The sequence below is a fragment of the Homo sapiens genome, chromosome 5 (genome assembly GCF_000001405.40).
Source record: "Homo sapiens chromosome 5, GRCh38.p14 Primary Assembly".
NCBI classification, from domain to species: domain Eukaryota; kingdom Metazoa; phylum Chordata; class Mammalia; order Primates; family Hominidae; genus Homo; species Homo sapiens.
This window is the reverse complement of record NC_000005.10, coordinates 45,250,382-45,276,436: the sequence shown is the minus strand read 5'-3', so window position 1 is coordinate 45,276,436 and position 26,055 is coordinate 45,250,382. Positions and strand designations below refer to the sequence as shown.

The window sequence follows — 26,055 nt, the reverse complement described above, 5'->3', positions numbered from 1 at the left end:
TCCCTTGCTAGAATTGCAGATTCTTTCATCCCACTCCAGACTTACTAAATCCTAACCTGCTTTGCAGTAAGACAACCCAGGTGATTCCCATACATATTAAAGTGTGACACTGCACTAATGAATCCATTCTGAATGAATGAATGAATTTTTGCATTAAACAAATAGAGGAAATGCATGTTTAAATGTTGATTTTATCATGTGTGCATGTGGTGTGTGTGTGTGTGAGAAAGAGAGAGCATCAAGGGAAATATTTTGGAGACAAATAACCTTTTAGGCTGTAGTAGACTTGCCTCATAAATATCTGGTGAATATATTGCCTATGGAGACTATTGTTTCTGCCACGTGTTTTTTTCATTTTTTAGAAGCATATTAAGCCACATAGGAAAACAGAGCTGTCAGGATATTACTTCAAAAAACACATTGGAGGTACCTAAGAGCCAAAAATCATTTGATGAATTTTTAAAAGCTGGCTGCATTTTAAAGGCATTTATAATTCAAGGTGTTTGATTAACTTTTGACGACTTGAGTGCTGCTAGATTTAAAGATTGAAAGGGACAATTTGGAATGGTCTGGTGAATTTTTAAAGACAGATAGAAGCAGAAAAATTGTGGTTTTACCCTTCTTAGCTTTGATATTTTTATGTTATTTTTGTTACAATCACAAAACAGAACCCCTTTAATCTGTTTATGTCACATGGGCTAACACGCGGCTACCTGAGATTGTTTCCTACCTACGTAACATATCTGTAATATCAGTAATATCCATTAGGTATTTTAACTTGCCAAAGACAAGTAGTACAAATATATATTCTATATAAGTTTACCAACAGTATTATGTAAAGCTGATTTTATGCAAGCTGAAGGAGTTACAATGGAAATGAAAGACACAGATAAAGAAGAGGAAAGGGAGAGAAGTTAAGGAGTAGAAAGTGTAAACCTTAATTTCAAAAATTCACATATACAACAAAATCAAACAATCATGTTACAAACATGTTTATGATTAGTAGGAACCAGATGAGAGCTTTGTATTATAACTTCTGTCAATTGGAGCCAAAGCTTCACAAAAAGATTTGCCTATTTGGTATATTGTATTCAAATGTGAGCACCTTGTTTTATGAAGAATATTTTTAATCTGATGTAAGCCATTTTCAGTTATTGATTGATTCACTTATTTCCTTTTTTTTTTTTTTCTGAGACAGAGTCTCACTCCATCACCGAGGCTGTAGTGCAGTGGCACGATCTCAGCTCACTGCAACCTCCATATCTTGGTTTCAAATGATTCTCCTGCCTCAGCCTCCCAAGTAGCTGGAGTTTCAGGCGCCTGCCAACATACCCACTAATTTTTTGTATTTTTAGTAGAGACAGGGTTTCACCATGTTGGCCAGGCTGGTCTTAAACTCCTGACCTCAAGTGATCTGCCCCCCTCGGCCTCCCAACATTCCATATTTCTTGAAACAAATAATATATGACAATGTTTGGTAAGTGATGACATTGCAAAAGCAATCATTGCACTTCCTTTAAAGACCTTATAGTTTAGTATAAAGATTATAAACAAGTAAGTCCAATAATGTAGGAACTAAGATGCAAGATGATCAAGATACAGAGGAAGCACAAAGATAAATTTTCCCTGGGACAATTAAGAAAGAGTATTAGTGGATGTGAAACCATCTTCCTCAAGACACAGTCTAAGGAATTTGTATGATTAGTTTATGAACAAATTGTTTATGAGATGGTGAAAGATGATAGTTATATATCACAAATTTGGAGAGCTACTTGATGTGTGAAGCATTACTTTTATTTGCTTCTAGCAGGTACCATCAAAATCATAAGGAAAAATTAGAATACAAGGAAATGGGGAAAAAGGAAGGAAATTAATGTTTTACGAGTACCCACAATGTGCCAGGCTTGTGGTGGCACTCTTTATAGGCACTGTTTTATAGGCACTCTTTTACAGGCACTGTTTTAGTTAACCACATAACAGCTTTGTCAATGAATAACTTTGCTAACACATAGCTTGTCTGAAGAGTTGCTACTAGGTCAACATTCAGAGGCCCACGTGATCACTCTAATTTATATGTTTTAAGAGAGATGATTTGATTGAACTTGGAGCTAAGATTTGTTTGATAAAACAATAACTTTATTTGATCTAAATAACCATAAATAACAGGGCATGAGTAGTAGAAGAGGACACAAATAATTGTGCAATTAGGAATGTATCTATGTGAGTTGAAATGACTAGTTATACCCTTAGTAAAATGAAAAATTGGGTATTCTGGTTATTAGAATATTATAATATGTAATCTATACATGAATAATACCTTCTTTATATCTATATTTAGAAATTTGTTGTATTCAATCTCTTTTTCAGAAGATTGTACAAAATGTGAAATGCATTAAAGTACTGTACTAAGAAATCAATCAAATACTAAAAAATTTGCACCTATTTAATGTTCTTTCCTAGTCTAAACTTCTTTCGATTTCTATTCAAATCTATTTGATACCCAGAGTACTTCTACCAGCCAAACATGATACGCAAAATGATTTAAGCCAGATGTTATCATTTCCTGTGCCATACAGAGGCAGTGTTTTACTAGTTCACTAATATAAATACAGAAAGTCTACAAAGACAAAAAGAAAGCAAAAAAGTGATATTTTCTGTTACATGTTATTATAACACAGTGAATTAGAAATCTAAATAATTTATAGGAAATTAGTATTTTGATGCACAGCAGAGAATTACTTTTATTTCATGGTATCAGTTACTAAAGAAGGAAGCAGCTTTTGTTTAGGTTACTATGAGAAGCTAAGTACAGTTTTGCCCAAAATTCTAGAAGCTCAGGTTAAGCACATTACTTTAGAAATTTCTGTCATGAGTTCCTGATTAGCTCTGTGTCACAGCAATGTCAAGTTCAGTTTTAGAGGTCAGGAAAATATTTCTGAGTTGCAAAACGTTTGAAGCCATTTGCCCTACCTTATAAAAATGACTGTTTATGTAGGTGACAGTAATGTCAGGTGGACTTAAATGTTTATAATCAGGGTTAACTAATGCCAGCAAAAATAGCATTGAGAAGTTGATATATCTCATACCTTAAGGATTATTAAAGGTATACAAATAATGTGCTAGGCCAAATCTAGTCTCCCAGGCCACACTCTTTCTGACACTGAAATTGGAAACAGAGTTGTCTATGTTCCTATACAGGATGCATTACCAATAGTTTTCATCTTAACTAGGTGAAATAACTACTTAGCCATTCATAAACGCCCTATAAAGAAAACCAGGAAAATTCTACCGAATTAAAATTAATACGCTAAGTCCCCATTACTTTTACAATTTATTATAATATGTAAATACGCATCCAGATGAAGGGACCTATTACCCAAGTAAATTTGCACTAAGATTCTTAAAACAGTTATTACACCACTGGGAAGTTCTTAGTTGAGCTCTCAGAGAGTATACAAACAAGAAAAAAGCAGAAAGGCTGGAACAGACAGATTCTAGAAAGTATGCCAAGACAATCTTTAAAAAGCTTGCATCTGTAAACTGCACTGAATCTGTTCTTTGGGAGTCCAATTTTATTTTATTTTGTATTTAACTTTATTTGCTTTATGAAATCAACATGCATATCTATAAGCAGGTTAATTTTCTTCCTGATGAGTAAAGGCATGTCTACATTGAAAAAAAAATGACCAAATCTTCCAGATAGTTTTCTTTATTATAAACATTGCACAAAACCTCAGAGATATGTTATGTTCCTCAAAGAAAGTACGTAAAACATTTGGCAAGTTCTATGACCAAGGGAAGATGCCTAACAGGTGAACCAATATTATCCAAAACTTAAGAAGATAACTTAGTGTGGGTTTTATGTTTATTCACTGTAATTGGGGTATGCATAAGCATTTTTAAATCATTTTGCCTGGGCTGGAAACTCAATGTAGCAGGCACTATAAGGGATATTATAAGGTAACTATATGGTTTCTGTCTTTAAAATGTCTTAAACCAGCTAGGTTGATAAAGCCATTATTTAGGAAACAGAAATTCAGTAGAATAAAATAAAATGAAATAGTGATAAACTAATACATACATAATTTCTAAGGTACCTAAAGGATAGTATGAGCTACAGATGACTAATTTTTTTCTATATATATCCTTTATTTAAACACCCCCCATCCCCGCCAAAGACACATATACACACAGATATGGCAAATACACCAAAACTCTGTAACACCTAACAAAGGGCTGTGTTTACTCAATAAGTAGATTTTCAAAATAGCTTAATATTGTATCAAGAGAAAATTAATCTGGACATTCAATTCATGAAATCTAAGCCTCTTTGATCAGAAAGTTTACTCTTTTTTCGTTGCTAAGGGTGTGCCATTTCTTAATTCTGTTATTCATACTAGAAACAGAGTATGGAGGCTTTAAAAGAAGAGATTATTTTAAGTGTTTTTCATACTTCTTAATGACTATTTCTCCTCTCATGAATAACCTTCAGTTGTTCTTTTTCTCACTAAGAAATTATTGAGGACATGCAGCAAGGTAATGGCTGATGAGTTTTGAGTTGGTAATGAACAAAGTCCTTTATATAACTTTTGAAGGGACTTTGTTGTGCAAGTCTATATTTAGCCCTTAGTTGCTCCGTAGGGGAATATGTCACATTAAATACAAAGGGAATTTTTGTAGGTGATTAAATAATTTATTTCATTAAGCATGTTGCTATTTGATTCAATTATTCAAGTCAGCTAACATTAAGCCCCTACTATCTGTCATGTAGGCACTGGAGATATAAAGATTAATGAGACTTTACAGATAAAATGTTGAATGAAGTCTAAGTTAGTTACAGAGTTAAGGACAATAAAACTCTAGAGACATAATTGAGTTTTACTTTTCACTGATAAATAAACTCCACAGAATATAAATGGGTGTCTAATTCTCACAAACAAGAGCAAGTTGACTGAGACTAACACAGGACTCTAAATCCCCAGGCCAATACTATACCAAAAAAAGAATCCCTAAAATAGCCCAAGCAACTGTGTCTGTGTGTGTGTGTGTGTGTGTGTGTGTGTGTGTGTGTGTGTGTACCTGAATCAGCAGGAAACCAGACATTACTGCTGTAGACAATGCCCCAAACAGCACTCTACCTCATTAACTGGCAAGAAAGACCAAATTAGAATATCAGTGTTGATCCCACAAACTACAAAAGGTAAAATAAGTACATTATCTTTTTAAACAAAATGTAATGAAGAGGTAAGATTTGCTGAACAGTAACATCTAAGTTTTACTGAGATGGCAACATAGAAAACCTTTGGGTTAAGAGCTCATAACACACGTACACATTTCTTCATGTAGGCTTTAAACAGTATTTTAAAAGCATCCTCCTTGAAGATTTTCTTACCAATGGTAATATTTAACTGATTCAAGCCATGATTACTTAGTAATGTGTACCTATACTATGTAACATATGCTACATATGTTATATATTCATTATATGAGATCATCAGATGACAGAGGCCAGAAAATCATTTGTAAATAATGGTTTAGAAAAAATTTGACTAAACTTATATCTATGCTCCAGTAAATCTGTTTTTAACATATCTGTAAAATGACTGTGCATACTGAGAATAGCTATATTCTTATTTCTAATTTTTAAACTTGTTTTTAAAAATTAAAAATAATATATAAACACATGCTCTTTGTAAAAATAATTCCAAGTAATTTCTAAGCATAAGACAAATACATTTCTTATTTAAGATGATTCCCAGGACATGCCTTTATCTCATCCCTCTACAGAGACCCAATTAATAATAGTAAAAGAATAAAATATAAACTCAACCACAAAGTAACCTGATGCATGAATTTGTATTTGGGAGCAACCAGGAGACGAGACAAAGGGACATGTTTCTAGAAGACAGAAAATACTTTTGATATGAGTGAAGTGCCAGATAACATTGGTTCCATAGCCAGCAACCATGGCCCTTTCTTGTTAATAAAATCTTGTATGGCTGGCATCATATACTACTTCAGGGATTAAACCAGTATTTACCTAACTCAATCACTAACAGTAGTTACCTTATTCCGATTTACCAAATATTCCGTTTTAAATCCTTTCTTGCAGCTAAGGCTGGCCACATGATGCAGTTCTGATAATAAAATGCCAGAGAAAGTAAGTTAGGGACCTGTAGTACAACTTTTGCCTTCACAATAAAAAGAAAGAAATATAGGAAGAAAGTCTTTTGCTGTCTCCCCAAACTTTGGATGCTGTTGTGTGAGTATATGAATGTGTGTAGTTGTTGCTATCAACTTGTGATCATGAGAAGAAGGCCAAGGAAAACAAAAGTATTATGGGCACAGTGCCTTGGCATCATTGAAGTGCTGAACAAATGCTGGCCTTGCCTACTCCCAAATTTTGTTTTGTAATATAATGACATTAATGTATTGGATAAACCAGTGCTATTCAGGTATTCTGTAGCCTGCATTTAAATGTATGCTGGTGGTTACTGATGAACCTTGAAGGGAAAGTAGAGGGAACATGGAATATACGTACAAAGAACGGGAGCCAAGGAGACAGCAGGTATCCTGGAAGAATACTAAACAGGCTCTTAGTTAAGAGACAACAGGACCACAGAAGACAGAACAGAAAGCGGGTGACTTATGCTGATGGTAGGTATGAGACATCCCTCCCTCCATGTTGCGGAATAGTCTGTAGCCAACCATGTACCTGAGGATAGTGGGGGGAAATGTCAGTGGTTCGTTCATAAAGCAATTGAATGAGAGGGAGAACTAGGACAGTTAAGAGAGATGTCAGTGGCCTAGAGTAAAGCCCTCCTCATTCTGGTATTTAGAGAAATATGAGGACAAGCTCCCCGCCTATTTACCCTAATGAAAAACTTTAAATTAACAAATTCTGCAACATTACCAGAGTTTTTTATCTTTAAATGTGATTGGACATCAATAGATTACCAAAAGAAAACATTCAACACACAAGAGAAAGACCTAGAAAAAGAGACAAAACAATGTTTCCAGAGTAAAGAGAAAGAGTTCAGAAAAAATAAATTCAAATGAAAATATAATAAGTATAAAGATAAAAAATAAAAACAAAACTAATTTTCTTTTCACTTTGTATAGCTTTAATGCAACGTATTTTACACATATAATTCATTAAAGTGTAGAATTCAAATATCTTTAAGTAAATTTACCAAGTGATGAAACCATCACCACAAATCAGGTTTTAGAACATTTTCATCACCCAAATAAGATTCCTGTGCCCACTTACTGTTAATTCCCTTTTCCATCTTTTGCCTCAGGCAACCACTAATCTGTTATCTGTCTCTGCAGATTTGTATTTTCTGAATATTTTACATAAATGGAATCACACAGTATGTGGCTTCTCATGTCTGTCTTCTTTCATTTAGCATTCCACACAAGATTTGAAACCAACACTTAGCTTTGTTTGCCATAATGTGGCAATCATAAATTATAATTATATGGCATTAGTACTTTAGTGACACAGGAATTTAATTTTGGAGTAGTATTCAAAATGCTTCTTTTAATTACCTTGTTTATATTACAGTAGCAGGTAAATTCCATGGTATGGTAATTTGCTTTAAAATTGACCAAAATAGATTTATTTTCCTACACAGACACACACACATATTCAGGCACAAAAACATTCAGACAAACACACAGACCCCACAATATTATTTAGCAGGTTTACAACATTACTTTTCAATCTTGACAAGAACAACAGCATAATTGATGGTTTAGGTGACATTTCCTAAAATCCTCTCTATCTTCCCAGACTGGTTCACGTGTCCTTCTCTAGTATTCTCAGAGTTTGCATATATGTGACATTGTTCTTACCAGATTGTATTCAAATGAACGTACATGTGTCTACAGCGTGATTTATTCACAGTGTTTGTCAACATAAATAGAACTTCTTTAAATTAGCTCGAGTGTGAATTTAGACATTTAATATTATATTTATTTCCTTTTGTTAGGTGACTAAATTTTAGAAATACTTCTATCATTTCTCTTTTCAAATTTGTTATTTTGAAGCTAAATGTTTAAATTATTTCCAAATTAAAAATAATCAAAGCCTACAGTAGTTCAAATCATAATTTTTGGAAAACAAAATGGAAAATTATCTCTTAATAGCTATATAGCTTCAGCTGGCCAATAATGAAATCCAAATTTGCAAATGTTTGTTTACCATATTTTGGAAATCTAAATTTCAGTAAGGAATTACCCTTAAAAGTCATTTAAATAGAGAGTCCCTCTGTACATGTGGAATATCACTTTCTTCATACTGATCTCATTGGGAATATACAAACTACATTAGACATGCCTATATCTAAACCTCTGGTCTAGCTTTGTTTGATCATAGGACTTTCTAAGCCAATGTTTGGACTCATTTTGGCTTCTGCCTAGATTATACCATCTGCTTTCTGCCTTCCAGAATTCATAAAATCGTCTTTCTAATCATCACCCCTTTCTTTTTTCAACTCCTTTGTGGACATTTTATTCCATTTTCTGCATCTCTTTTGTTTTTGTTTTTTTTCTTTATTTCTTATTTCAGAGGATTGGAGTGGGAAGGATAAGGTATACTGTGTTTCAGCCTTGCATTTAAACCAAAAGTCTCAACCATGTTTTTTTGTTGTTGTTGTTGTCTTTTTTGAGACGGAGTCTCACTCTGTCGCCAGGCTGGAGTGCAGTGGCACAATCTCGGCTCACTGCAACCTCTGCCTCCCAGGTTCAAGTGATTCTCCTGCCTCAGCCTCCCGAGTAGCTGGGACTACAGGCGCCTGCCACCAAGCCCAGCTAATTTTTGTATTTTTAGTAGAGACGGGGTTTCACCATGTTAGCCAGGATGGTCTCGATCTCTTGACCTCGTGATTCACCCACCTCGGCCTCCCAAAGTGCTGGGATTACAGGCGTGAGCCACTGCGCCTGGCCTTCTCAACTGTTTTTTTTTTTTTTAAAACAAAACAAAACAAAAAAACATTATTTTAAGATTGAGTATTGGCAGTCGGATATTTTTGTCAGAAGGAATTTGCTGATATAATAGAAAATGCTGCTAATAATTGTTTTTTCACACCATGAGACTTGTTTTAAGTTGTGGGAAGCCTTAATGGCTTTTAAAAGAAAATGATCAAACAAGTCATTCTTCTTTGTTGTTTGTTTTTATAGAGATTTGCCTGCTGACCAAAGGACGTCGTACTGCCAGTGTTCGAGCTGATACATATTGTCGTCTTTACTCACTTTCCGTGGACAATTTCAACGAGGTCCTGGAGGAATATCCAATGATGAGGAGAGCCTTTGAGACAGTTGCCATTGACCGACTAGATCGAATAGGTACTCTAGTTTTCTACCTTCTTTATATAAAATTTAATCTCCTGGCATAATACAGGTTTGCAATTATAAGTCCCAAATGCAGTGGGGAGTGGTGACTCATGCCTGTAATCCCATCACTTTGGGAGGCCAAGGCAGGTGGATCATTTGAGGTCAGGAGTTCGAGACCAGCCTGGCCAACATGGTGAAACCCTGTCTCTACTAAAAATACAAAAATTAGCCGGGTGTGGTGGCGTGCACCTGTAATCCCAGCCACTCAGAAGGCTGAGGCAGGAGAATCTCTTGAGCCTGGGAGGTGGAGGTTGCCCTGAACCAAGATGGTACCACTGCACTCCCGTCTGGGAGAGAGAGTGAAACCTTGTCTCAGAGAAAAAAAAAAAAAAAAAATCCCACATGCCAGTTTATAGCTTGCTTGTTAATTTGTGTAGAAATAGCAATTAGCTGTAGCCGTATTTCTTGAGAGATCTGGGTCCCTATCTATCTCTTCTAAGTATTCTGGGTTTATTTATTAATGTCTATTTTTGCTAGCTAAACAAACTGATTTCCCGACTGATGCCAAAACAATTTGAATCTTCAGGTAAAAAGCAATGATAAAAATTCTAGATAGCATTGAAATAGAACTAAAAATATGATATATGAGTCTATATTACAAACTAAGTTTTATCACTTTTTTTGTATTTTTGGATCAACTTTACATTTTATCTTTATATTAGGAATTGAAAATTTGCACATTTAAATTAATCTCAGCAGAGACATAATAAAATGTTTGTAATATAGACTCAAGCAGAAAAAAAAAGCCTTGATAGTAATGCCCTACATAGATGCTTTACCTCGCAAACATCAACATATTTTAAAGTCTTTTCTGCTACCAAATAAAAAAATATATATATACAACCATTAGGCCTTATTAGTTATGCTAGTTTGAAGATTTGCATAATTGCCATAGTAAAGTTAGCTTGGATTGGCTTGCTGTTAACATTCCTAGATATCCTGGAACATTATGTTGTAAGGTAGTATGCATTCATTTTCCACACCTAAACCCTCTTTGCCACCCTCCCCTTCTCTACTTTTTTTTGGTCAGCTCGACTCTGCTCAACCTTCCTCTCTCTGTTTAGATATCACCTCCCTCTAGAAACCTTCTCTGACCTCCCACTCCCTACTAAGCCCAGTTCCTTGGATGCATTCTCCTATAGCCTCTGAAGCTCCCCCATCACAGCACTGCTTTTATTACTGGCTCTAGAGATGCTAAATTTGTCAATGTAGAGCTCATGTTTAATTCACCATTACATTCACAGTACCTAGTATACAATGAATATTTGTTGAAGAGAGGTAGGAAGGGAGGAAGGAATAAATGAACTCAAAAAAGATGGGGCTGGGATCACTTGTGATAAACAAGGAGGTACCTCAACTGCTTCATTCTTATTAAAGGTAAGGACTTCAGATTGATAAATTGTTATGTTGGCTTTTTTTCTGCACTTCACATTCACATCTTCCTTTCTCTCTATATTAGTAGGACAGCAGACTGCATAGAGATCTGAAAATAGATTAGAAGTAAAGGCAGTATTTGGACATCATCATTAGATATAACAAACGTATTAGAAATTCATATTGAAATCTTAGAGATTTAACAAGACCTACTCATTCAGGGAGACAATACCCACAAAAGAAGTAGGCACTCCTGAAGGCATCCTTACTTAATTGGAAAATAACTTCCCTCTTTGTAGTGTGTGAGTGTTTATGTTAGAGACAGAGACTAATTTCTAAGCAATGAGTTTCTTCCTAAACCAGCTAGACATCCTTAGAGAAAACATTAAAATCAGGATATTTCACTAGATAATTTCTGTTAATCTGATACAGCTTCACTTTCATCTAACTTATTGCAGTTAATTTTTTTTTTTTTTTAAGACAGAATCTTGCTCTGTTGCCCAGGCTGGAGTGCAGTGGTGTGATCTCGGCTCACTGCAGCCTCCGCCTCCCAGGTTCAAGCAATTCTCCTGCCTCAGCCTCCTGAGTAGCTGGGACTGCAGGTGTGCACTGCCACGCCCTGCTAATATTTTGTATTTTTAGTAGAGACGGGGTTTCACCATGTTGGCCAGGACGGTCTTGACCTCCTAACCTCATGATCCACCCATCTCAGCCTCCCACAGTGCTGGAATTACAGGCATGAGCCACCGCGCCCAGCCTGCAGTTAATTTTTATAACAATATTTACATGAAATGGTTCGTAATCAATACAGGCAATGCAATTTCTAATAGGCACTAAGCAATTGAATTTTTGATCTTTATAACATAGTAAGAGTGTATTAAAAGTTACATTATTTTTCCCAAGGTTAAAGATACTTAGATTAAGATATTTTGACTGTTCACATAATCAGAAAGAAACATTATGCTTCTCGGTTTTGTGGCCATTGCATATAGATGTATGCTGCAGTTAGTTAAGCAAATATGCTAAATAAGCATTTATATTTATTACTAATGTAGGAGTTTTTGTTCTTTGGGAAATTAGGACAGTCTGTAAGTAGGGAGAGGTAACTATTTTGGCAGTCATTTAAAATGATTGCATTCCTAGCAGTCAATGAAATTACAATACATATTTATCTTCAAAAATATATTTTGTTACCTTTAATGTGTTAGTTTATTTAGCAATATCGCAAATTGATTCACTTTTCAGTTACCATATTCACTTGGAGATTAGTGTATCAATGATGCCATAGAAAAGTCACTACTTTCCCCTTCTTTCACCAATCCACTATTCATTCTAATAATTATTATGCCAGAGACTGTCTAGTATTGCAAACCACTCAGAAGATGATGGCAGGAAAAGCTGTATTGCAAACCACTCAGAAGATGATGGCAGGAAAAGGTAAAATTTATTGAGGTCTTAGAGGGAGCTGAGAGCCTGCAATGCACTATGCCCTTGGTCCTCACAACAACCATTCAGAAGAGGAAAGATCATAAAGTCAGTCTCAGTCTTGGCTGCATTTAAGAATTCCCTGGGGAAGCTGGGCGTGGTGGCTCACGCCTGTAATCCCAGCACTTTGGGAGGCCGAGGCGGGTGGATCACAAGGTCATGAGATGGAGACCATCCTGGCTAACATGGTGAAACCCCATCTCTACTAAAAATACAAAAAATTAACCGGGCACGGTGGCGGGCACCTGTAGTCCCAGCTACTCAGGAGGCTAAGGCAGGAGAATGGCATGAACCCGGGAGGCAGAGCTTGCAGTGAGCTGGGATGGTGCCACTGCAACTCCAGCCTGGGCATCAGAGCGAGACTCCGTCTCAAAAAAATAAATAAATAAAATAAAATAAATAAATAATAAATTTTAAAAAAAGAATTTCCTGGGGAAATTTGCTTTTAAACTACTGAAATTCAGAGCCCATGTATGATTATTTAGATTTAATTGGTAGGGAACAAGTGGATGTTAGTATTTTTTAAAGCTCCAGAGATAAGAAAAATATCCAACTAGGACTGAGAATGACTGGTGTAAGACACTGGGTCAAAAGCAAAACCTGATACAGTCCTCCTCAGATTTGCATTTGGGAATCACCTGGGGATCTTAGTAAAATGCAACATCTGATTCAGCAAGTGGGGTCAGGCCCAGGAGGCTGAGTTTCTAGCAAGCACACAGATGAGACAGGGGCAGTTGGTTCATTTTCCATAGCAAGGATGTGCAATCACTTTTTTGTGTATATGGTCTTTCTCAGCCCTGTTACCTGCCAACCATGTTTTTTTTTTGTTTTCCTGGGCACTGTTCTTAGTCTTCTCATGTCCTGATCTCCTTTCAGGTAAAATGAGATTATGAACACACCTATCTGACAGGGTCGCGGGTTACATAAAATCATCTACCTAAGGTCTTTTGTAGAGTGCTTATCACATAGTACGTGTTCAAATGTTCTCGCTTATGTCTCCATGGTCCTTTCTTGAAAAAGTAACTTTAAAATCAAATGTTGATTCCAAGCCCATCCTATTCCAAAAGCCCTTTCTTCCCCCATTCTTCAAGGTGGCCCTCATGTTAAATATCTCCATTTCTTCTGTAAAGTGGCTCTTTGCCATATTACAGGCCGTTCAACTTGAGTAGAAGGTAAGAGTTCCCAGAGAAATACAGGAAGTGTGAAAGGTAGGAGCCACATTGGTATTTGGTGTGTAAAGGTGAGTGACTGGCTTTTTAAGCCTCTCCTGTGAAGCACAGCTATACTTCTGTTTGCAGGAGCCACTCTCACTTGGCGTTGTCATCAGTCATTGGTAGGCTTTCTAAGTGCCTATCTTTCTTTTGCTGACAGGAAAGAAAAATTCAATTCTTCTGCAAAAGTTCCAGAAGGATCTGAACACTGGTGTTTTCAACAATCAGGAGAACGAAATCCTCAAGCAGATTGTGAAACATGACAGGGAGATGGTGCAGGCAATCGCTCCCATCAATTATCCTCAAATGACAACCCTGAATTCCACATCGTCTACTACGACCCCGACCTCCCGCATGAGGACACAATCTCCACCGGTGTACACAGCGACCAGCCTGTCTCACAGCAACCTGCACTCCCCCAGTCCCAGCACACAGACCCCCCAGCCATCAGCCATCCTGTCACCCTGCTCCTACACCACCGCGGTCTGCAGCCCTCCTGTACAGAGCCCTCTGGCCGCTCGAACTTTCCACTATGCCTCCCCCACCGCCTCCCAGCTGTCACTCATGCAACAGCAGCCGCAGCAGCAGGTACAGCAGTCCCAGCCGCCGCAGACTCAGCCACAGCAGCCGTCCCCGCAGCCACAGACACCTGGCAGCTCCACGCCGAAAAATGAAGTGCACAAGAGCACGCAGGCGCTTCACAACACCAACCTGACCCGGGAAGTCAGGCCACTCTCCGCCTCGCAGCCCTCGCTGCCCCATGAGGTGTCCACTCTGATTTCCAGACCTCATCCCACTGTGGGCGAGTCCCTGGCCTCCATCCCTCAACCCGTGACGGCGGTCCCCGGAACGGGCCTTCAGGCAGGGGGCAGGAGCACTGTCCCGCAGCGCGTCACCCTCTTCCGACAGATGTCGTCGGGAGCCATCCCCCCGAACCGAGGAGTCCCTCCAGCACCCCCTCCACCAGCAGCTGCTCTTCCAAGAGAATCTTCCTCAGTCTTAAACACAGACCCAGACGCAGAAAAGCCACGATTTGCTTCAAATTTATGATCCCTGCTGATTGTCAAAGCAGAAAGAAATACTCTCATAAACTGAGACTATACTCAGATCTTATTTTATTCTATCTCCTGATAGATCCCTCTAGCCTACTATGAAGAGATATTTTAGACAGCTGTGGCCTACACGTGAAATGTAAAAATATATATACATATACTATAAAATATATATCTAAATTCCCAAGAGAGGGTCAAAAGACCTGTTTAGCATTCAGTGTTATATGTCTTCCTTTCTTTAAATCATTAAAGGATTTAAAATGTCGTTGTAAGATTATTTATTTCTAACCTACTTTTACTTAAGTCCTTTGATATGTATATTTCTCTATTTTATGAAGAGTTCTTGGATTCAATGGAAACAAAACTGATTTTAAAAAGGCAACTCAAATGAACTAGTAAATAGCACCAATCAAAACTTTCTTTCATTAGCTGTGTCTCTGCATCTAAATTGTTAATCATTAATGGTGGAGAATTAAATAACAAATCCCATTTTATAGATCTAAATTGTATTTCGGTGCTTTCAATTTCAAATTAGGTTAAAGAATGCACTACTTGCTTGGCCACCGTAGGAGACTAGCATTGCCACTGTTTGTTAAGAATATCACTAACCTCAAACATGTTCATTGATCTTTCAGAAAGCTGAGGGAAAATTAATATTTGTCTTCATGTGTTATCGGACTTTTACCAAGACTCGATCAATGTTAGTTGTAAATAACTTTTTCAACCCAAATAAAAATAGCTATTCTGTGTTGTATGAAGGTAAAAGTCATTGTTTAAGAATTTAGTTTTATTGCTTCACTTCAAAACTTAGAGTTTTAAATTTTACAAAACCTGATTGTGAGAATTATTCAATTGTAATGCAATGGCTTGAAACCTACAATATTATTTTAACCTGCAATGTTTTATGCAAAATTGTATGCTCGAATCTACAAATTGCTTGTATTACACCAAAAATCGTTACTTTTCTTTCTTCTTGCCATAATCAAGCATCTGAAAATAGTCCCTGCATGCTTCTGGGGAAAAAAAAATAGGTTCAAATCAGTCATTGTAGAGAAAGGCTTACAGTATTTCTCGTTTCTAGAAAAGCATAACAATTCATTAATTGCCTATCTTATAATTCCTATAAGGCTGACTTGGATCTCTGACTTAAGTCTAGAAGTGAGGTTTTCACTTTTATTTAATATTATTGCTATTATTATTTAAATAATTATTTGTAAACCACAGCTTGATTTGGAGTTAAGTGTTGTCTGTGTCTTCACTGTAGCTGGTAATTTACTATGGTATTAATTTAAAGAAATAAATTCAATACAGCATCACGTCTGTTTGGGAACACACATTTTGCTCTATGTATATTGTAACTAAATGGTTAGTAAACTTTAAGGCATGTGGTGACTAACGTAGCCCTTAGATAGGAGGTTTGTCATTTTTAATGTGTTGAAAATAGTACAGACATGGTGACAGAAAGCAGGGGTAAAGTTGAACGTCTATGAGCATTGTCTGTCTGTTTTCTTAACTCTTTACATGATCTGTGAGCACCTGCTTCTTCTCAAAGAACTCCCTTAGTAATCATTTGTGCCTAATGCATCCCACACATGTGGAGTATGACTGGAACACAATTGAAAGATTCCTAACAACTGGCTGCGGTAAATAACCCAAGTTAAGAGCATGACTTAAAGTGGAGGTCTTCAGTATCTCTGGCACTGGCAATACATTTAAGAACATACAGAGATCACACATTATGTGGGACAGGGCCTGCAGATAGACTTGAGGACAGAAAACAAAAACAAAAGCAGAAACTCTAAAGTGGATCCTTGCTGCCTGTTATGCCTTTTGTGGATATAATACCTATAATACCAAAATGAGTTGTTATGTTTAATTTCAAACAAATCCCAACTGGTGTGGAAGTAATTAACTGCTAGTCGATGTAATGTAATCATCAATATGCTGGTGACATATGATGGCATGTCAGGAATACTGTTGTAAGAAAGGGATTGTTCAGTCTACCTAGAACCTATGGGAAAGCTGCAAGACCATTTACATATCAGTACAAAACTCCTTTATTTTATTAAAATATGAGAATTAACTTCAATTTATTAAGATTACGTATTGGTCCTTTAAATTATTAAAGGTTTACATTTGATAGGATTAATGGATTTGGTAGTGAAATATTTTTATATATATAAATTTTTGGTTTTTTATTTTGAGCACTATTGGGAAACATAAGCAAAATTGAAATGCATGGTCTTTCAGTGCAACCATACAATTTTTATTCACTTTGTAATAGAATGGACAAAAAAACTAAGGTTTATATATTAAACTAATAAAAAGGTACAGGGTAAATTATATACATATATGTATGAATGTATATATACTTAGATTAAGAAAAAAAAATGACTCACATTCCTGTAATATAAAGGTCCATTGCTAGTTGAAAAGTGACCTCTTTTCTCTGTACATAGTGAAGCCCGTATGTATGGAGTTTTAATCTGTACAGAAAGAAATGTATTATTCATTGGTCTTTCTGCTGCTGGAAAGATAATAGAATAGCTGATTCTTACAACAACTGTATGATCAGGGATGAGTTAGAGTATTTCTTTTGTCTTTGCTCAAAGCCATACATATATAAATATATATAAAGATTATTAATAAATTCAACAAAAAATAAACTACAATCATGAATATTTTATTTTATCAATATATGCTAATCAAATGTTTTATTTTATTAATGAGTACAGCTTTGCCTCTATTTTTACATCATAAAATTTCCAAGAGCTTATACTTGATAATCACATAAAATCAATTATATTCTATAATTCTGGAATGAGAGGACTTTAAATAGAACATGGATTTTTCAACCACTTCTTTGTTTACCTTTTTCGTATAGTAAAATATGAGCTTATTTTCTTTTTTGCTCTGTGCCTTTTTAGAATGTGGTTGTTCTCCAACTTCAAAACACAACCATTTTGTGTAATTATTGGATATACAGATGAGAAATAATTTTCCTGTAATAATGGTAAATAATTGTCCTGTAATATATTTATACAAACCTATTTTGTTATAATAGTTCTATGACATACCTATTTTGTTATAATAGTTTTATAACATACCTATTTTGTTATAATAGGGCCTTGGGCTCTATTATAACAAAACAGGTTTATATAAATACATTCATATTTATAGCCTTAAACAAAATAGGTTTGTATAGTAGGCCCAAGGCCCTATTATAACAAAATAGGTTTGTATAAATATATTCATATTTATAGCCTTGGGCCCTGCAAAGTTATTTGGAGAGTGATAGAACCTCCCCACACAAGTGGGTTTTAAATGATACCTAAAAGCCTGAGATAGAGTTTATCATAATGAGAATAAGTAGTGAAGCATTCCTGAAAACAAGGAGGATAAATAGTAGCAATGGCAATATATTCTATTCACCAAAAAAGTAGCTTGTCTCCAGGTCTGGATGACCTCTTCATAAGTGAACAATTCCCTGATGAATGCTGTTCCACTTTAAAGAGATGGTTATTTTGCAATTTATAAACTTAACTGAGCATACTATTTTCAGGACACTACAAAGTACATAGTCAAGTTATTACCGTCATTCCTATAGGACAGAGAATGATTTAAACAATATGACATGTTTAAAATTTTAGATGATTTATTTCAAATCCTGAATTATGTCTACTTCAAATTATGAGCAATCTCTATTATCTTTCAGGACTATTTAAAAAATCTCCATACCTCCTCTTTCAGCTTAGGTTTTTATATTTGTTAATTTTACTATGTTACTTTGCTTCTATGGCCCTCACTTGCACTGTTTATAATGTTAACCTGTTTGAATGAGATATCTCTCCATTATATCTTTATCTTTTTAGAACATGTGCCATAAAACCCATGTGGTTATTTTGTTCATATGCACTACAACTAGCAAACTTTTATTTTATGTTCACCTACTTTAAAAAGTACTCATACTGTACCATGGGAAAGAAACATGGGCCTTATAGAATGGAATGCTGAGCTATTTTGAGTCCTGAAAACAATGGCCAAAAATTTAAGGAACTGTGGTTGCTGCATGCACCAAATTGTAGCACATACAAATAAATAAAATACAGTTCTATAACTGTATTCAATATGGTTATTTTCAAGGAAAAATAGGATAGAAATTTTCTTTGAAAGATTTGCTATTGTACTTAGGGAAGTACACCTGCTATTACCCCTCAAAAGCAATGACTTTCTTAAGCAATTTCAATTTTTTTCCTTTTTAACAACCCTGCACTTGCACAACCCTGCATCTCTTGTCTCACCCTAATGCTGACCCTGCTTCCAATTCAGGCTTTGACAGGGACAAATGGAGATTTTAAGGTTTTTTAATGAGAGAAGCCTTGCTGACACTCCCCGCATCCCACCTTGAAAATTATTTAAAGATGATCTTAAAAGAACCTACAGATAATGCTCTGAATTTGTTTACAAGGTCCTTGATGTGGAGAGAATGAGTAATACATTAAATGCTGGGGAAATAATTATCATTTAGTGAAAAATTAAGCATGCTTTTCTAAAATGTGGATGTTTAACAGAGCACAGCTGATTGGGAACACTGGCAGTTCAATGCAGCTGGAGTGTCTCACAGGGTGAAGAGGAACCCAGATCAAGTGGGAAATAGGGATTTCAAAAACCTTCTGAAAGGCTTTTAACATCAGGGCAAAGGTTTTACAGTGTTGTACTTTATATTCTTAATTTAAGCTTATCAACGGGGAGGATTCACATTGAAATGTCTGTTTTGCTAATGTAACAAGGAATAAAATAATTTATGACACAGCAAAAACTGGGGGCTATTTACAACCCCACCCTGCCTTGTGAGGATGCTGGGTCCTAAGGAAGGTCCTAGGTTTGCTAAATAGAGTAATGGGAATAGGAAACTGAAAGTTTACTTGCTTTGCGTAAGATAATATATTGCGGCAGGGAAGGGGTACAAGAAGATAAGAGCTAGAACCTGTGAGAAGGGAAAGAAGTGATAAAATAATTTTGGCTAAAATAAAGCAAGTTCTCAGGCCAGGCGTGGTGGCTCATGCCTGTAATCCTAGCACTTTGGGAGGCCAAAGTGGGAGGAATGCTTGAGGCCAGGAATTGGAGACCAACCAGGGCAGCATGTCAAGACCTGGTCTCTACAAGGAAAAAAAATTTTTTTAATTGACCAGTATATACTTACATACCTGCAGTGTTTAGAAAACCCGACTATAGGTGGTGTATTCCTGTAGTCCTAGTTACTCAGAAAGTTAAGGCAGGAGGATCGCTTGAACTTAGGAGGTCAAGGCTGCAGTGAGCCCTGTTCGTTCCACTGCACTCCAGCTTGGGGGACAGAGCAAAACCCTTTCTCAAGAAAAACCCAAACAAACAAAAAAGTGAAGCCAGTTCTTTAATTTCTATTGGAGATATCACACACGCTCCAAAGAGTGGCAAAGGTGAACATTCTTTGGAGCTATTATATTTCTAATGTAACATCAATGGCCATTTACTCCCAAAGGGAAACATCTTTTTTTTTTTTTTTTTTTAAGATGGAGTCTGGCTCTGTCACCCAGGTGGGAGTGCAATGGCAGGATCTTGGCCCACTGCAACATCAGCCTCCCAGGTTTAAGCAATTCTCCTGCATCAGCCTCCAGAGTAGCTGGGATTACAGGTGCCCGCCACCATGGCTAGCTAAATTTTTGTAATTTTTAGTAGAGACAGGGTTTTACCATGTTGGCCAGGCCGGTCTCGAACCCCTAACCTCAAGTGATCCGCCCGCCTCACCCTCCAGAAGTGCTAGGATTACAGGCCTGAGCCACCGCACCCGGCCCTGCTATTTTTTTCTATGTAGTTGTTTCAGTAATACCATATGAGCAGAGAATACTATTGATTCATTCAATTGAAGAAATCTGAATAAATTAGTAAATATAATAATTCTTCAAAAGAGGACCACTTTATGTTTCCAATAGATTATATAATTGAATTCAGGTAACGTAGAGTTATTCAGACTTTTTTTTTTAAATAACGGAATTTTGCAAAAAAACAGGTTGCATCGTTTTCTACAGAGAATATTCAGATGTGTAGAGGCAAAGAGACTTTCTTGAAAGGTTTTTATTTCCTGTTAAATTTGTGAGGAAAACTCCTGAGAAAGGAAAGATTTACTTTTGAAGGAAGAAAGAACATAACCCAAAGAAATTTGAAAGATTCAAAAAGAGTTTTCCAAATGTATTCTCATTTCTTTCTCATATTTGTTCAAGGTCTTAGTTTCCAAGCATTCAAAATTAAATCTTGTTTGCCTAACTCTTCTAACATCTATTACCAACCTAACATATTACAATTCTGTTTAAAATGTGCAGTTCTAAATGTTCTTGCGTGCCTCACTGTGGAAAGTGTGGTGCATGGAACTGCAGCGTCAGTATCACCCAGAAGTATAATTACAAGAAGTGCAGAGTCCTTGGCCTTACCCTGTACCTACAGAAGTCCGCTTTTGGGCAAGATCCCCAGATGATTCATATGTGTATTAATATTGAAAAAATTGGAACTAGTAAGTCCTAGAGGAGGTAAATTTTAAGGGCTTTTTAAGGGAACTTCCAAGTGTGAAGACATTTCTGGAGATGACAAGTCAACATAGCATGGGATCTTGGCTAGACAAGGAAAGCGAGAGAACATTAAATAAACACAAGCAACGACAAACCACCTATGTTATAATTTTATCCTGGACCATCCAAAGTTTACTCTTGGTCACGCTGTCTAACCCAGCCTGCCTCCTGGCACTTGCTAGTTAGAACCAGGGAAGAGAAAACTAATATGTGTTAGGTATTATAATTTCCTTATGTCACATAAATTTTGGTGCCATAGCTAGCAATGTTTCTTAATATCACATCAGTACAATGTGTCCATTGCCTTCTGTAACATTTTTAATGCTATCAATAATACATTGACATTATAAAAATAAATGAATGTGGTCAATATTTTGCAAAGAGCTTCTCTTCATCAGCTATATCTATACACCTGCAGTGTTTAGAAAGCCTGACTACAAAAACTGGCTCTACTGCTTATGTCTTGCTCTACTTGCTTATTCTACCCATGGTAGAATTATATAGTCATATTGTGTCCGGAGTTGGTTCCTTCCAGTGGGTTCATGGTCTCACTGACTTCAAGAATGGAGCCACGGACCTTTGCGGTGTTACAACTCTTAAAAATGGCACAGACCCAAAGAGTAAGGAGCAGTAAGAGTGAAAACAAAGCTTCCACAGGTGGAAGCAAACCCCAGTGGGATGCCTCTGCTGGCTTGGGGGTGGCCAGCTTTTATTCCCTTATTTGTCCCCTCCCATGTTCCATTTTTGTCCTATCAGAGTGCCTTTTTTCAATCCTCCCTGCGATTGGCTACTTTTAGACTCCTGCTGATTGGTGCATTTTACAGAGCACTGATTGGTGCATTTTACAGAGCGCAGTTTGGTGCATTTTACAATCCTCTTGCTAACTACAGAGCACTGATTGGTGTGTTTTACATTCCTAGCTACAGAGTGCTAATTGGTGCATTTTACAAACCTCTTGCTAGCTGCAGAATGCTGATTGGTGCGTTTTACAATCTTAGCTACAGAACGCTGATTGGTGCGTTTTACAATCCTAGCTACAGAGTGCTGATTGGTGCATTTTACAATCCTCTTGTAAGACAGAAAAGTTCTCCAAGTCCCCACTCGACCCAGGAAGTCCAGCTGGCTTCACCTCTCAATATTACATCTGCTTTCATGACCGGAAAATGGAGATTGGAATAGTTTCTACTTTACAGGGTGGTTGTGAAGATTAAATGAGCTAAATTTTACAAAGAATTTATTCCAGTTCTTGGCCCCCATTAAACATTCTAAGAGCAATGAGCAGAATTTTCTAAGTCACCCCAGGCTATCTGGGCCATAACTTAGGTGGGACAGACCTCTCACACCTTCCCAGTGGAAGGGTCTGTGCATGCAATTCCAACTTCACTGAAGAAGCAGGCTTCCACCCATTGACATTCCTCCTAAACCATGATCTCCAGGTGTTTGGCAGATAATATTTCTAGATGACTTCTGTGAACAGCTGACACCCTATATCCAGTTTTCTTGGTGCCAAGTAATCTGATTACTGATGAGGCTGGTTTTTCCTCTCTGTCCTGTAAATGGTAAAATATCAGGAAGCCAGTATCCTCAACTAGCACCTCAGCCCCAGCAAGCTTCTCCATGAAAAGAGAGTGTTGTATCATGAGCCTACTTCTTAACATATATCACATGACAGTAAAATTTGTCCTGAAGCCTAGTGCGAGAGAAGTTTAGGTCCAAGTAGGACATAATGTATGACATGCTGGATGTCATGCATGTCTTACTATAGCATCTATGACATGCTGTATTAAACATTATTATAATCACATCTTTTGAACAATTAGAATCTGCAATTGAGTGCAATAGTCATCTTGTCGTTTGTAAACTTGATAATGATAAAGTATAAACACATGCCCACATACACACACACACACACACAAACACGTATGCATTTGGTTACACACAGAGAGCCTTGTCTTTTACATAGCTTATTTAGGTGGGGACAGGTTTCTGAAAGGTGTCACATGCAAGTGCTTTCCTTTTTGTTTGAGGTACAGATCCCATTAAAGAGCCAAATGCCTATACAATGCCCTGAGAGAGATGTCAGCTGTGTAATTGTTCTTTAGCTGTCTTTCTAAGTGTAGTCCAACTCTTCTGGCATGCAGCAATCATCCTGCCCCTAGGAATTTGACCTTTCTGCACCGTACTTTAAATTCAGCCTCATTGCTAGACAGCAAGAAGATAAGGAGGTGATGCAAGATTTTTTTTTTTTTAGAAGTTATGCTGTAAAATCTCCTACTACAATTATAGGAACACAAAATCTTTTGGGCTGCTAGGCTCCACAGGAGATCATCTGGACTCAGTTCTTAAAGCTTTGTTCACAGCAGGATCTGAGATCTAAACTTCTAAACTATTATTTCATGATTTGTATTTTTTTAAAGGTAGGGAAAAAAAAAAACTCCCACCTCATGTCAGAGTACTTTAATGTTCCTGTGATGAACATTGTTAAAAAATCTGTAGACAAGTGAAAAAAGTACAAGACTGAAATAATCAAAGAACTGTGAAGTTTGAAAATTGAAGCTTCCAGCAGTTTCAGATCAGCTGCATCCAATTAATCAGATGCGTGGCCCAACAACACATGCTTTGAGCTGTTTATTTCATGCACTGTTTATCGCTAAAATAGATATTAAAGCTAAAGAGATTTAGAGGAAAATAGATGGTCTGTTAGGAGAAAAGAATTACTTTAAAATGTTCCTTTATAAAAAAAGATTAAACCAGATTACGTTTAGTTGCCTGTTGAAGAATAAATTTTATAGTAGTGATATAACTAAAAAAAAAATGTTGTTTTTAAGGGAAACAATTCACTGCATATGTCAATTGTAACACTTTGTGATTTTGTTTGCCTATTTTTTGTCTTAAAGTCCTAGTATAGGTTAAAATTCTGATTTTGGGCATGGCATGAAAGGCTAAATAGATTCAATGCTCTTAACATGTCCAACTTTCTAAGACTCTGCTCAATCATTAATACTTCATTTATTTATTTAGCACACTTCTTTCTTCAGCTATGTGTTTCTGCTCATTGTACATATGCAAAATCTACAATTTATATTTTAGCTTTGACATGATAAAAGTGAGTTCTTCTTTGAATCCTCCAGCTACCATTTTCTATATTATTCCATCTTTTTACACTTTTTCTGTTCTTCTTCCAAAAATGAAAAAAATCTAATATCACTAAAAACTTATTGTGAGTTAATTAACTTCTGAATTATCCCAGGTATTTGCACTTTAAAATAAAATGCCATCATTAAAAAAGAAATTAAAAAAATATGAAAATAAATTGGCTACTAACTCTTGGACACCAGTAAGTGCTCTCACCTTAAAAATAAGAATTTCACTAAATAATTTGTAGGATTTTTTCTAGATCTAAGATTCTGAAACTTGAAAACTCTTGCCCTTGATGGGAGGGAGAGTTTATGTCATCACCGTGATTTCTTGGGACTTTATGTTGCTCAAATGTGCATCCACCACCTACAGAGTCTGCAATAAAGCAAGTTTAATAAGTGTTTGTTGAGCATCCAGGTACATGAAGGAAGTAAACATTTGAAATAAATAGTAGCAAAATATAACTAAAACAGTTCAAGACAAAATCAAAAGGAGTGTCATAGGGAGTCATAATTTCAATTAAATTATACAAATGAGAATTGTCACAGCAATTATTATGTGGGCAATATAGATAGAGGGAGAATGTATAGAATCATGAAGTACTAGAATGTTTGCGCTATTAATTGTCCTTAGAAATGAGCTTGTTAAACTGTCTTGAATGATAAAAGTAAAAACAGACCTGCAGCCCCAGTATCACAAAAGATCTCATGAAGACTCAGGACTATAATTCACCTGATCACTGATAAGGCTGGCTTTTCCTGTATTTACCGTAAATGGCAAAATATCAGGAAGCCAATATCCCTCCACTCAGCAAGGTTTTCTATGAAAAGAGAGAATGGTATCATGAGCCTACCTCTAACAACTACAGAGTCTGCAATAAAGCAAATTTATGATTATTTGTTGAACATCTAGGTACATGTAGAAAGTAAACACTTGAAATAAATAGTAGCAAAATATAACTAAAACAGTTCAAGAGAAAATCAAAAGGAGTGTCACAAGAAGTAATAATTTCAATTAAATTATACAAATCAGAGTTGTCATAGCAATTATCACTTGGGCAATATATAATAGAGGGAGAATGTATAGAATCATTTGAGCTATAAGGGTCCCTAGAAATGAGAAACTAGAGATTTACTGTACTTTGAGGTTGTTATAATCTAGAGTGATTTTATGGAACTCTAGATAGACAAGCATAATTGAGAAAAATAGAAATGAGGGAAAAGTTGGAATGTTCCAGGATTTTTGCTACATAAAAAACCTAAAGGCAAGAATGTAAATTCTAAATGCATAAGTAAGTGCTAGATGCATATGATATCTGACTGGAGGGAGTTTTGTTTTTTTGTTTGTTTTGTTTTATTTTATTTTGTTTCTACAGAGGAGAGGCCCAAGATTAAGGAAAGCCTTAATTATGGCCTTTAAAATGTTCATACTTACCAAGTCAGAAGCAAGGAGCCATTGACAGCTTTTGAGTAGAAAGCCAGTAAGACAAAAACAGTACTTTTACAAAGAGTATCATTGTAGATGAAGAATTCTATGACAGAAGTTGGAATCTCATGGAAAAGTTAACAGATTAGTGCAGAGCTTCTGGCAAAACTTTAGTTTTACTTTGCCACCTGAACTTTATTGGGAGTGATTTTTGTTTGTTTTGTTTTGTTGTTGTTTTGTTTTTTGTTTTTGTTTTCAGCCGGAGTCTAGCTCTGTCACCCAGGTTGGAGTGCAGTGGCGCGATCTCGGCTCACTGCAAACTCCACCTCCTGGGTTCATGACATTCTCCTGCCTCAGCCTCCCGAGTAGCTGGGA

General features: G+C 36.4%; 1 protein-coding gene across 1 annotated transcript in view; it reads left to right on the top strand.

Annotated features, from left to right (window-relative positions):
- Nucleotides 1-21,489, top strand: part of HCN1 (hyperpolarization activated cyclic nucleotide gated potassium channel 1) — a 441,433-nt gene extending 419,944 nt beyond the window's left edge. Inside the window, exons 7-8 of the mRNA NM_021072.4 lie at nt 9,184-9,348; nt 13,627-21,489. Coding sequence (NP_066550.2) covers nt 9,184-9,348; nt 13,627-14,516 — 1,055 coding nt within the window. The 3' untranslated portion in view covers nt 14,517-21,489. The remainder of the gene's footprint in view (nt 1-9,183; nt 9,349-13,626) is intronic.